The sequence below is a fragment of the Homo sapiens genome, chromosome 20 (assembly GCF_000001405.40).
Source record: "Homo sapiens chromosome 20, GRCh38.p14 Primary Assembly".
Classification (NCBI taxonomy): Eukaryota; Metazoa; Chordata; class Mammalia; order Primates; family Hominidae; genus Homo; species Homo sapiens.
The window spans coordinates 44,833,450-44,848,041 of NC_000020.11; the positions used below are offsets into that span (position 1 = coordinate 44,833,450).

The following is a 14,592-nucleotide window of genomic DNA, read 5'->3' on the forward strand; positions in this document are numbered from 1 at the left end:
TTGAGGCCATCAAATGTGCCTAGTTAAAAAAAAAATTCCTCATTTCCTAGCTTCTGTTGCAGCTAGGGGTGGCATATAACACAGTTATGGTCAATGAAATGCAGACTAGGAATTTGCAGAAAACTTTCCTTTTCTGATTTAGTCATTCTCTCCTTTTTCCTGGGTGGAATAAGAACATGATGGCTGGAGCTTTAGCAGCTGTTTTGCAATCAAAAGGAAAATCCCAGGAGAATTACACAGACCCTTCAACCCTGACATCCTTGAAGCAGTGAAATGGTGACGGCAACTGCCTAACTCTTCACCACTTGTTTATTTAAGACACTGGCTACTCAGGCTTTCTGTAATTCATGGCTAAAAGCAATCTTTTTTTTTTTTTTTTTTTAGATGGAGTTTCGCTTTTGTTGCCCAAGCTGGAGTGCAATGGTGCGATCTCAGCTCACTGCAACCTATGCCTCCCGGATTCAAGCAATTCTCCTGCCTCAGCCTCCTGAGTAGCGGGGATTACAGGTACGCACCACCAGGCCCCACTAATTTTTTGTATTTTTAGTAGAAATGGGCTTTCACCATGTTAGCCAGGCTGGTCTCAAACTCCTGACCTCAGGTGATCTGCTCACCTCGGCCTCCCAAAGTGCTGGGATTACAGGCGTGAGCCACCATGCCTGGCAGTCTTTAACTGATTCACTCCATTGAAGTAAAAATAACAACACAGTAAAACGGGAAGTTTGGGGAGAAAAGATGGAAAGAGTATAACAGTGCCAGTGTTTTATTACATGTAGTCACCATCTAAAATTGATATATAAGGCTAAAAACAACAATGTCTGCAACCTCTTAATGTTTTCAGGAGGGATCTTTAAGGGGCTCATATATTTCTTTTGGTGGAGAAATTGTTATCTAAAGTTCATAAATTCTTTCTTTACATTTGTTTCTAAAATTCCAATAAATTCAAGTAAAATAAGTGAAATACCCTTCAAAACTTAAGAAGAGTATTATAATATGAAATAATTTTTAGAAATTATTTCTGATTACCTATCTGTATAGATGCATTGAAAGATGTTTGGAGTGATGTTCACCTCATTTGAATTATGCTCATTTCCGGCTTTTTATTTTTGTTTTTAAACTTTTAATTTTGAAATGATTGTAGATTTACAGAAAAGTTGTAAAGATGGGAAAGTTCTGATTTCCTCCTCACTCAACTTCCTCTAATGTCAACATCTTATGCAATCATGCTACCTGTATAAAAAGTAAGACATTAACTTGGTAATTATTATAGTATGATGCTGTTAACCAGAATACATACTTCATTCAGATTTTCTAATTTTTCCACTGATGTCTTTTTTATGTTCCACTTTCCAAACCAGAATACCACATTGTGTTTAGATATCACATCTCCTTCGTCTCCTCTGGCCTATGACAGTTGCTTGGTTTTTCCTTTCCTTTCATAGCCTTGACACTTTTGAAAAGTGGTGGTCATATACTTTCAGAATGTTTCTCAATTTTGGCTTGTCTGGTGTTTTCTCATGATTTGACTAAGGTTTTAGGCTTTGGGGAAGAAAAATCACAGAAGTGATGTCTTGTCATCCCATTCATTACATGAAAGGGCACGTGATCTCTACATGACCTCTCACTGGTGATGTTGACCTTGATCATTTGACTTTTTCACTTTATTCTTTGTACTTTTTTATATTGCTTTAATTCCTTATAATGAGTATGTCATAAAAGGGAACTTGGAAGTGCTACATATGCTGAAGAACTCCACAAATGTGAGGGTTAAATTTTTCATTTGAAAGAGAGGATTGATGTCCAAGGCTTGGCTGAAAGAGGGAAGAGAAGATAAGTATAGCTACGACATCAATGTTAATTGCCTGGAGGCCAGCCAGGGTGGCAGGGAAAAATGGAGATGACTTTGAGATTATGTAACTGCTAGCAGAGCAAAGAGTGAGGGCCTCATACAAATATTTCTTAATATTGATACATTTCCCTTTAGCCTATAGCCCTAGTTGAGAGTGGGGGTTACCCCACTGGCCAAGTTGGAAATGGCATAACAGCAGAGAGCTGATTCTGTTGCAAAAGCGAGTGGGCATGGGAACTAATGTTAATTAAGCACCAGGTATGTTCCAAGTGCTTGACTAAATCATCCCAACCCTGCCTGCTAAGTATGCTGGTCATCTCCATTTTATGGGGAAATGGAGACTCAGAGAAGTGAAGTAACTTGTCTAAAGCCACTCGGCCAGTTAACCATCAAATGTCTATCAGGCAATGTACCAGGCAGGCACAGGAAAGCTACTGTTTGAATCTAGATCTCTGTGACACTAAAGCCACACTCTTCCCCCCACCCCCCACATACACACACTTTACACCACCTGCTTCCCAGGAAGGGCCGCAGACACGTACAGGAATCCCAATTATGGGGAAAGAAGATGAGCTTCTGAGACTATTCCGATCCACAAGATTTTTCAAATTCTTCACAATCTCTGTCTCATGGATCAGAGAGATCCATGAATCCCCAGGTCAAGATCCTACTACCCTCTGAATGATTTGGACAGCTGTTCTCTGCAATCAGATGGGGGAAAGGGCTTGGGGTAGCTGGAACAGCCTTCCGCTATCCCTGCTGTTGACAAGACCGTAGGATGCAGGGAGAAACAAAGAAAGAGATGGCGAGAGAGGGGAGGGAAAAAGAGAAGGAGGGGAGAGAGAGAAACTGCTTAGTTTTGAATTCCTTTTTCCAGTTAGCCCTAAGGCCAGCTCCCAATCCCTCCTAAGGATGGATTTTAGCAAAGAGGAACCCCTTTTTATTAAAGCTAGTTCAAATTTGGTTTCTGTAACTTGAAACCAATGTGGGCACATGGGCGGGGCCCCAGTATCATTTACTATCTAGTGGTAACCATGTCACTGCTGATTTTTATGGTGAAATGATAAGGTGGAGAAGCGGTTCACCTTCAGCTGGTGCTGTTACTGTTGTTGCTGCCACTGCCAGCAACATGGGGCTTGGTGGTGGTGGTAGTGACGTGCGATGGTGGTTGTGAGTGTGACGATTATTGGAGGGGCTAGCGATTATGGGTACCAAAATTCCTTGGCAGAGATGCTGGTTATTGGAGGGGCTAAAGATCACAGGTACCAGCATCCCTATTTCTTCAAGGTTTGTCTCTTTCTTTTACGCTTTGTATTTCTACAATGGCCCTGGGGAGTGAAAAGACTTAGAATTTCATCTTGTCAAGACTGGTAGATGAAAACATGACTGAAGAATTGATGTGCATTCATTCCACCAGTTAAGTCCTGTTGTGTGTACATTTTTTAACAATGCTTGCATTCCCTGGGGCTGCAATTTATTCTACTTGCCATGATGTCATGGTTCACTGTGAAACACAGGAGCGTGTTGACTTCAGACTTCTCAACACATTAAACCTATGAGCAGAGTGTAACCTGCCAACGTTGTGCCCGGAAGTCGTGAAGACTTCTGGGATGGATTCATCCTGCATCAATGAGGGCTAGTTGTTTTCAGCTAAAGCTTGTGAGTATGAGGGCACAGGGACCGTGCTTGTGAGTAAGCGGGCCGGCATGCTGCTGGGGGTGCGTCAGGTAGAGAGACTATAGCGTGTGCATCTGTTCCTCTCTCTCAATGTCTGCCCGAATCTCCTTCGCCCTCCCCAGAGTGAAGCAGTGAGGCAGGAGCAATGCTCACATTTCACTCCAAGCACCTACCTTGTTATATTTTCAACAAAATAGCTTTCTACCTAAGAAATATTCTGGGACAAATGTAAAGCTTATTCATCCATTCAATTAATATCGGTGATGAGCCATGCACTCGTCTAGGTGCTGGGGGTATAAGAGTGGAAGGAAGGAACCCACAAATCCCTGCTCTTATACAGCTGACATTCTAGCGGGTTTAAACATGTCTCATTCTCATCACACACAGGTGAGGAAACTGAGGTTAATTGACTTAACTGAGGACAAACAGTAAAGGGCAGAGCTAAGATTTTAAGTAAGATCAGACTGATCCCCAAACCCATGCCCCTGACCAATTCTATGTTATCTTCAGTGAATATTTTTTAAAAATTTGTACTGCCCAACATCTTTTCACCATTCTTTGGGTACTAGAAACCTCCATTACTTCTGGTAAACCACTCTTCCAGTCTCCAAGATCATCTAGAAAAACTCCAGTAAAGGCATCCTGTCCTCCTTCAACTGAAGAACGGGTTCATAACCCAAATATGTCATTCCAATGCTGCTTTCTGCTGTCAAGACCTCCTGGAAGTATGACTCTTTTCGCTCTCAAGTTGATTTTTCAGCTCTGCCTATGATTCTGTAAGCCATCCCATATTTTTCCAATACACTTTTTTTATCCAGTTATACAGAGTTCACTTCTGTTGCATATAACCAAAGAATGAAACTAACACATTGTCCCTTCACCCTCTAGGTCTTAATTTGACCCAAAGCAGGTTTTGTGATCTACTAACTAGAAAGTATTGCACCCACCTCCCAGGAAAGAAATCTTGTTTACTTGAGCCAGGCCTGCCGACATCCCTGGCTTCTGGCCCCTTGTTCAGACCTAGCCTTCCAGGAAAAGCTTCCCTGCTCTGCACCGGGGCTGCCAGACTTGCAGATGCTGCACACTCAGCAAAAGCAGTGGAGGAGCCTGAGCTATATTTGAACTTCTCTGAGAGCACACAGACACAGCCCCCTGTGCTCTGGCTGGCGGAGGGGACTGGTAATTAACAGTACTCTTGTTCAGAGCACAAATGGAACAGGTGATGGATCAGCAAGTTCAGAATCAGAGCCACAGCCAATCTCTCCATCCCCAAGTCTATTTTTGGGTCACCACAGATGCTTATTAACACCACATATCAGGGCTACAGGACAGACAAGAGACTTGTCTTGGGGAACTTGTCAGTCAAAATTACATTGAGTTTTATGTAACAAGTCTGACCAGATACCGTTTTTTTCCCCTCACCCAACAAGAAGTCCAGTGGTAGGCAGTCCAGGCGGGTATAGAGGCTCAGAGAAATCCTTAAGGATTGAAGCTCTTTTTATCTTCCTGATCTGCTATCCTTAGCAGCTGGCTCTCACCCTCATAGTCACAAGATGGCTGCCCCACTTCCAGAAGTCTCACCTACATTCCAGGTAGGAATAAAAGCAAAAGCAAAGAAGAGAAGGCATGTTCCTGATGAGTTTTCCCTACCCCTTTGTATGAGGAAGACAAGAGATTCCAAGGAAGCCTCATCCAGATTTTCCTGTACATCTCATTGGTCAGAACTGGGTCAGAGGACCAGCTGCAAGGGTATTTTTAACTGGGCATATTGTCATTCAAACAAAACTGGGATTCTGTTACTAAGTAAGAAAGGGAGTAAAGGCATTGGTTAAGTAACTAGTAGTGTCTGTCACAAAAGGTAAGATGGGAAATGGGTCATGATCGAGGGAGGCCTCCAAGGGGCTTAGTCACAGGTTCTCAGGAGCACACAAACTGGACCCATTTCCAGGGTCCCCATGTGGAAAGGCAGAGGGCTGGAGGAAGGTCTTACGGCTGTTCGCAGCCCCGCCCTCGTTCTCATGGTAACCTACAGAGAAAACCAGGAGCCACATGAATCTATCCTTTATTTATTTATTTAGAGATGGAGTCTCACTCTGTCACCCAGGCTGGAATGCAGTGGCACGATCTCGGCTCACTGCAACCTCCGCCTCCTGGGTTCAAGCGATTCTCATGCCTCAGCCTCCTGAGTAGCTGGGATTATAGACATGTGCCACCATGCCTGGCTAATTTTTGTATTTTTAGTAGAGACAGGGTTTCATTATGTTGGCCAGGCCGGTCTTGAACTCCTGACCTCAGGTGATCTGCCCGCTTCAGCATCCCAAATTGCTGGAATTACAGGCATGAGCCACTGAGCCTGGCCAAAGCTGTCCTTTAAAGATGGCATTGAGGTCAGAGAAACGTGGGAAAGGTAAAGAGGTTCACCAAAAAAGAGTCAAACAGCTCTGATTTCAAATCCAAGCTCTGCCAAATACCAATGCTCTGACCTTGGGTGAATCACTTAACCTCTCTAAAATGGGGGTAATACTTTGCACATGTTTTGTGAGGCTCAAAAAAACTTCAGGTATACATTGTATATCGTAGCTATCCCAAAAATGGTCGTTATTATTACATTAATTCCCTCCTTTTCTAAATGGTGAAAATGAACCCAGAGAGGGGAAGCAAGATGACCTAAGTCACACAGCCAGATAGAGGCAGAGCTGCGACCGGGCCCAGGCTATCTGACTTCCACTCTGAGGGGTGTTCCCTATCATCACTGCCTGTCTCTGTAACAAAATGATGAACATTCATTAAAGTGTGAAATTAGGCCTGAATGGTAGAACAAAGTCGCTGATTTAGAATTTTATTTAAAAACACAAACCTCAAATTTCAGACACTGAAGATGCCAAAAGTCAAGCAGAAAAGGTAGAGGCATCCTGGTGTGCCCCTCCTGGTGAATTCTACTCATTGTTACTGTCATTTACTAAGTGCACCAGCCGTGTGCCTGACATCACGCTAAAGCGTCTACCTAATGGCAGTAGCTAACATTCATGGAACACTATGTTAGTTTCCTGTGGCTGCTATAACAAAATCCCACAAACTTAGTGGCTTAAAAACACATCTTTTTTTTTTTTTTTTTTTTTTTTTTTTTTTTTTTTTTTCAGAGACAGGTTGTCACTCTGTTGCCCAGGCTAGAATTCAGTGGCATGATCATAGCTCACTGCAGCCTCGAACTCTCAGGCTCAAGCGAGCCTCCTGCCTTGGCCTCCTGAGTAGCTGGAATTACAGGCATGCACCACCATATCCAGCTAATAAAAAAAATTTTTTTTTCAGAGATAGGGTGTCCATGTTTCCCAGGCTGGTTTTGAACTCCTGAGCTCAAGCCATCCTCCCACCTCAACCTCTAAAACTGCTGGGATTACAGGAGTGAGCCACCACACCCAGCCAAAAACACAAATTTATTCTCTTACAGTTCTGGCGGTCAGAATTCCTGAGATCACTGTGTCAGCAGGGCTGTGTTTAGTGAGCTCGTTCCCTTGCTTTTTTCAGATTCTAAAGTCACCTGCATTCCTTGGCTTGTGGCCCCTTCTTTCGTCTTCAAAGCTGGCAGTGTAGCATGTTCAAATCAATCTCTCCCCACCACACACAAACACCCTCGCCTCTGCTTTCATTGTCATGTCTCCTCAGATTCTAACCCTCCTACCTCCCTCTTCCATTTTCAATTATATTGAGTCCACCAGGATAATGCCCCCATCTCAAAATCCTTAATTGAATCACACCTACTAGATCCTTTTTGCCATGTAAGGTAACATTCACAGGTTCTGGAGATTGGGATGTGGACATCTTTGGTAGACCACTAGTTTAGCTACCACAACTTTTATGCACCTGGAATTGCTGTGAATTCATATAACCCTCTAGACAAACCTAGGAAATACATACTGAGGCGGGATAGATAGGCAAGGAAGTAACATGTCCGCAGGCCACAGGAACCGTGGCTGTGACCGTGACTGTCAACACAGTAAGCCCCAGCATTTGCATTGTAGTCCAGCTCATGCAAGCAAAGCTATCTCCAGTAGGGAATTTCTCCTAGGAAGAGTATGTGCATTTTGATTTTACCTGTCCTCAGACTGACCCTTGTTCATTATAATAGTAAAAAACACACCCCTGGGTGGAGATTTAAGATGCTACTGAGACATGCAGTGCATGAACAAGCATGTGCTACCCGCACATGTTCACCCAGAGGACCATCCAAAACATGCTTGCTAGTAACACCTCTTCCTATCCCCTTAGGTAAGACTCCCATAAAGGAAGTTTCCCCGCGCGGAATCATCCCTCAGGGTGGACTGTCTATTCTGTACCTAACTTTCAGAATATTCTTTCTCCTTTGCAATAAATTGCTCTGTGCTGCATCTCCTTTGCTGTGTGTCTCTTGTTTAACCCACTGCCATTTAGGAAAAAAAAAAAAGTGCAGCTGGCTGCCAGCACTCATTTAACTTTACATTATCATGCTCTTTGAGGCTGAAGCAAATCTGACTGATTTTCAATGTGAAAATAAAATATAAAATCTCTTCTTGGAGTTATTTATTTCTTTTTTCTTTCTTTTTTTTCTTTTCTTTTCTGAGACAAGGTCTTGCTCTGTCACCTGTCAGGCTGGAATGCGGTGTTGTGATCTCAGCTCTCTGCAAACTCTGCCTCCCGGGTTCAAGTGATTCTCCTGCTTCAGCTTCCCGACTAGCTGGAATTACAGGTGCCCACCACCACACCTGGCTAATTTTGTATTTTTAGTAGAGATGGGGTTTCACCATGTTGGCCAGTCTGGTTTCGAAATCCTGGCCTCAAGTGATCCACCGGCCTCAGCGTCCCAAAGTGCTGGGAATACAGGCATGAGCCACCATGCCCGGAGTTATTTATTTCTAAACAGAACTTGTCTCTAATCCTAATGTAACAGAAATGTATATGATGATCAGTATTTAATTTTTTTTCATGTGGTGAATTGCAAAGCCCAGAACAACACAAAGCAGAACATCACATTCCACACAAAAATTTCACCTTTCTCGTCAGATCTTCTTGCCATTCCTGTTGTGTGAGCAGCAGACTTTGCAGCCACCAATTGGACTCTGTTTCCCTGATGTAGGTGGTATGCTCCTGGGGAAGTGTCTTCCAGACAGGTGAAGAGGTGTGACATCATCAGAGCACAGACGACCTCAAAGACGTTACCACCCTGGCTTGGGGTGCTTTTCCAGCATTCTTCCAATCAGTGTCAGTCTGAAATTTACATGGCTAATCGTGTCCTCAGGATTGTCCTTCTCTAGCAGGATGTAGGAGTTCCGCACTGCCATGTTTAGAAGGTGGCGAAAGAGTTTCTTATACCAAACCTTGTGCCTTTTGTGCTCAGTTGGATAAGAAGAGAGCATCTGATCAACTGAGTCCACTGTTCCCATATTCTCGTTATATTCCACAATGACACATGGCCTCTTAGTTTTATTTCCATTTCTGTGGTCTACCTCAATAACAGTATCGTTGTGGAATGTTGAAAACATTGTCACCTCCTTGTCAGACCATTTTGGTGCCATAAATTCACCACAGAATTAACATCATGCATAGGAATGCTATGTTTTCTAGGATTTGACATTTTCAGTGATTGAGAATCACTGTATTTTGTAAATGGAAATACCACTACTAAAAAGAGAATGCTGTAGAATGATGTCTGCCCGAGAGTTATCTCAGGGTAAATGCTGCAGCTGCACAAGTATTTTCAGGGCAAACGGGAAATGGGTTAAATCATTTTATTTTATTATTAATATTTTTTGAGATGGAGTCTCGCTCTGTCATCCAGGCTGGAGTGCAGTGGTGCGATCTTGGCTCACTGCAACCTCTGTCTCCTGGGTTCAAGCAGTTCTCCTGCCTCAGCCTCCCAAGTAGCTGGGATTTCAGGCCACCATGCCCAGCTGTTTTTGTATTTTTAGTAGAGACAGGGTTTCACTGTGTTGGCCAGGCTGATCTCAAACTCCTGACCTCAAGTGATCCACCTGCCTCGGCCTCCCGTGTGAGCCACTGCACCCGGCTGGTTAAATTATTTTAAACTAAGAAGATAAGAACTGAGGTTTCACAACAGCTATCACCAATACTATCATTTTGCCCATTTTCAATTGACAAGCCATGTTAGTTTCCTATTGCTGCTACAACAAATTGCCACAAACTTAGTGGCTTAAACAATGCAAATGTGTCATCTTACAGTTCTGCTGGTTACAAGTCTACATGGGCACCTTGGGCTGCGTTCCTTCCCGGGACTACCTGCATTCCTTGGCTAGTGACCTTGTTCATCTACCCAGCAACAATGATCAAGTCTTTCTTATCACTCCAACTGTTCTTCTGTAGTCGCATCTTCTTCCCTCTGAATGTCCTCTCCTGCCTCCCTCTTCCACTTTTAAAGACCTTCGTGATTACATTGGGTCCACCCAGAGAGTAACACAGAATACTCTCCCTGCCTTAAAGTCAGGCAATTAGGAGGGTTTTGTTTTTGTTTTTGTTTTTTGAGACAGGGTTTGGCTCTGTCATCCAGGGTGGGGTACAATGGCGTGATCTTGGCTCACTGCAACCTCCATCCGCCTGTAGGACTCAAGCAAGCCTTCTACCTCAGCCTCCCAAGTAGCTGGGACTACAAGTGGGCACCACTTTTTTTTTTTTTTTTTTTGGTAGAGATGGGCTTTCACCATGTTTCCCAGGCTGGTCTGGAACTCCTGGGCTCAAGCGATCCTCCTGCCTTAACCTCCCAAGGCACTGGGATTACAGGAGTGAGCCACCACGCCCGGCAGATTAGCAGTCTTAATTCCATCTGCAGCCTCAATTCCCTTTGCCATGTAACCTAACATATTCATAGGTTTGGTTTTAGGACATGGGCATTTTTGGGAGGCCATGATTGTGCCTACCACACAAGCCAAAGACCCAGAGAGGCTAAATAATTTGCCACAGGTTATATGGCTAGAAAACGGTAGAGCCAGACTTCAAAAGCAGGCTGACCCCAGCACTTTGAATGAGTGCTGACCCAAGCACTCTCATTGTTAATCATTGCACTACACTTCCGTAGCTCGTTTTCCCTTCTCAGCAACCCTACTGTGAGGTAGGTATGGTTATGACTGCTATGTGCAGTTTACAGTTGAAGACATGAAGACTCTCAGGGATGATGTGGCTTGCCCAAAGTTCACACAGGTAGTGGAAAGCAGAGGAACCAGGTTAGTCGGACTCAGATAAGAGATGTACCCAAAGCCAGGCACGGTGGCTCACACCTGTAATCCCAGCACTGTGGGAGGCTAAGATGGGAGGATCACTTGAACTCTAGAGCTTGAGACCAGCCTGGGCAACATAGGTAGACCTGTCTCCACAGAAAACTTTAAAAAATAGCCAGGCGTGGTGATGTGCGCTTGTAGTCCCAGCTACTCAGGAGGCTGGGGTGGGAGGATTACTTGAGCCTGGGAGGTCAAGCCTGCAGTGAACTATAATTGCAGCACTGCACTCCAGCCTGGGTAACTGAGCAAGACCTTGTCTCAAAAAACAAAAAAACAACAAAAACAAAAACAAAAAAAACAAAAACAGAGAGAGAGAGAGAGAGAGACAGAGGTACCCACAATGAAAGGAAGACATTGGCTACTGTGAGAGTGAGATTGTCATCCTTAAACCAAGAGCATTTCAGCTGGGCGCAGTGGCTCACGCCTATAATCTCAGCAATTTGGGAGGCCAAGGTGGGTGGGTCACCTGAGGTGGGGAATTTGAGGCCAGCTTGACCAACATGGAGAAACGCCATATCTAATAAAAATACAAAATTAGCCAGGCATGATGGCAGGTGTCTGTAATCCCAGCTACTCGGGAGGCTGAGGCAGGAGAATCGCTTGAACCCAGGAGGCAGATGTTGCGGTGAGCCAAGATCACGCTATTGCACCCCAGCCTGGCAAAAGAGCGAGACTCCATCTCAAAAAACACACACACAAACAAAAAACAAACCACAAGAGCATTTCAAATACTTTTGCTAAAATCAACAGCTCTTCCCTTAGGTATCCCACAGTACTGGACTACTCTCATTTCCTTCAGACCTCTTCTCAAATGTCAGCTACTCAGCGATACCCTGACCACCCTATCCAAAATAGTAGCTCTCATGCCCCAACCCCCATTCTCTTGTCTCTTCTCTTACTGCTTGTCATAATTATGTAAATTTTTTGTGCTAGAACAAATGCTTCATGAGAGCAGGGGCTGTGTCTGTTTTGTACACTGCTGCATTCCCAGGGTCTGGCATCCAGCAGGCACTCCATAATTTTTTAGTCTGAAATCAATAATAACTTAATCCAATCTCAATATTCTCATCAATGGACTTGAGAATAAGCAAATGTTATTAATGTATCTACATTAGATACTGGGACTCTTGGCATTTCAATTGAAAAAGGCTTTCGGAGATATGAAGGACTGGACCAGCAAGAGATTCTCCAAGTTTCTAGCCTTGGCTGGTCATGAAACTTTTAAGGGAAGGCCAGGCACAGTGGCTCAGGCCTGTAACCCCAGGACTTTGGGAGGCCAAGGCAGGCAGATGGCTTGAACTCAGGCGTTCAAGACCAGCCTGGGCAACATGGTGAAACCCCATCTCCACAAAAAAATACAAAAAATTAGCCAGGTATGGTGGTGCACGCCTGTAGTCCTAGCTACTCAAGAGGCTGAGGTGGGAAGATGGCTAGAGCCCAGGAAGCAGAGGCTGCAGTGTGAGTCAAGATCATGCCACTGCACCCCAGCCTGGGTGACAGAGCCAGACTGTGTCTCAGAAAAAAAAAAAAAATTGTAAGGGAAGCTTGATTAAAACACCAATACCCAGTGCCTACCCTCAAAGATTCTCATTGAATTGGTCTGAAGAGTGTTCTGAACATCAGCATTTTTTAAGGCTCTCCAGGTGATGCTAATGTGCCTCTGTGGTTGCCATTCACAGCCCTGGACCTCCTAAACTAGAATCCCTGGGACAAAGGTTTTCAACCTTGACAGAGCTTTGGAAAATACTGATGTTGGAGTACCACCTCCAAAGATTTTGATGTAATTAGGCTGGATGAGGCCCAGGGAATAGATTTTTCATTTTCGTTATTATACTTCTCAGCTCCAGAATGTCTATGTAGCGCCATACATTGTTTTCCTGATTTCCTTGAGTTTTTTATTCAAGATTTCCTTTAGTTCTTTCAGCATATTGAACGTAGCTGATTTAAAGTCTTTGGCTAGTAAATCCAATGTCTGGGCTTTCTCAGGGACAATTTATGTCCATTTATTTTGCTCCTTTTTTTTTTTTTTTTTTTGATACAGAGTCTCGCTCTGTTGCCCAGGCTGGAGTGCAGTGGTGCAATCTTGGCTCACTGCAAGCTCCGCCTCCTGGGTTCACGCCATTCTCCTGCCTCAGCCTCCTGAGTAGCTGGGACTACAGGCACCCGCCACCGTGCCCGGCTAATTTTGTTGTTGTTGTTGTTGTATTTTTAGTAGAGACAGGGTTTCACCGCGTTAGCCAGGATGGTCTCGATCTCCTGACCTCGTGATTCGCCCGCCTCGGCCTCCCAAAGTGCTGGGATTACAGGTGTGAGCCACCATGCCTGGCCTATTTTGCTCCTTTTTTAACTGAAAAATTAAAGTTAACTTTACACTTGATGGGTGCCAAAAGTCTTGCACCCAGATCAGCTGCAGACAAGAACAGAAATTTTAAACAAATGAGATCAAAATCCTGAAGCATTCTCCACAGAACTGTAACAGGGATGAAACATTTACTAGTATAATCCTGAAGACAAAGCACAATCAAAGCAATGGCTACCAAGAGATGGAAGTGGTTCAGTCAATGCAAAAGCAGGCTGGTCAAGAGCAAAGATCATGGCAACTGTTTTTGGGGGGATGATCATTTTACTTGCTGACTTTCTAGAGAGCCAAAGGATAATAACATCTGCTTATTATGAGAGTATTTTGAGAAAGTTAGCCAAAGCTTTAGCAAAACAAAGCCCAGGAAAGCTCACCAGAGAGTCCTTCTCCACCATGACAATGTTCCTGTTCATTCCTCTCATCAAACAAGGTCAATTTTGCAAAAGTTTCAATGGGAAATCATTAGGCATCCACCTTACAGTCCTGATTCAGCTCCTTCTGATGTCTTTTTTGTTTCCTAATCTCAAAATATCTTTAAAGGACACCCATTTTTCTTTAGTTAATAATGTAAAAAAAAGATGACATTGACATGGCTAAATCCCCAGGCCTCAGTTTTTTAGGGATGGACTGAATGGCTAGTATCATCACTTACAAAAGTGTCTTGAACTTGACAGAACTTATGTTGAGAAATAAAGTTTATGTTTTCTGTTTTTATCTTTAATTTCACTTTGCCCCAAACTCTTTGAAGTCCCCATATACATTTATCTTTATATAAGTTAGGTGTGTAAAGTTATGTCTATATGCATAGATTGCTGTCTGGAACGATGTTCACCAAACCGGTAGGGGCGTTAAGGGTGATTTTTGCTGTCCTTATTGCACTTCTCTAACTTGCTTATGATGTACACATACTATTTTCACAAAAGGAAGCTGGACTTATGGGTTGAGAGGACTGATTAAGCACATCAGTTCATCTCTTCTCTCTCCAAATATCCCATTGAAATGATAACACAAGCATTCCAAAATTCTAATGAAAACTAACAAAATAATAATAATAATAATAATGCCTACCTCTCAGAATTGTGAATTTTAAAATCTGGCACATAGTGCTTGATGATTATTATCTGCATTTCCCCCATCCACTTATAGTCCTAAAGATAACATTATTATAGATGCTCTTAACCCTTCTTGTGACATGAAGTTCTTTGCAGTCTGGTGGAGCTCAAGGATGCCTTCTTAGCATAATATTTTTTTATTAATAAAATTATATATATAGGATTATAAAAGAAATCATTCGTGTTAAAGTACATTTATCAAAATGTTTAAAAAGTAAATCAGTCATAGAATAACATATGTGCTTTTACAAGATTTGGAACATGTCTAATAATGACCATGATTTCAAAGTTGTGATGAACGTAAGTGATATTTTGAAATAATTTCAACAACAG

At 43.2% G+C, this 14,592-nt stretch overlaps 1 pseudogene; it reads right to left on the reverse strand.

The window, feature by feature from the left end:
• Positions 1-8,201: 8,201 nt before the first annotated feature.
• PGBD4P2 (piggyBac transposable element derived 4 pseudogene 2) lies at positions 8,202-9,141 on the reverse strand (annotated as a pseudogene).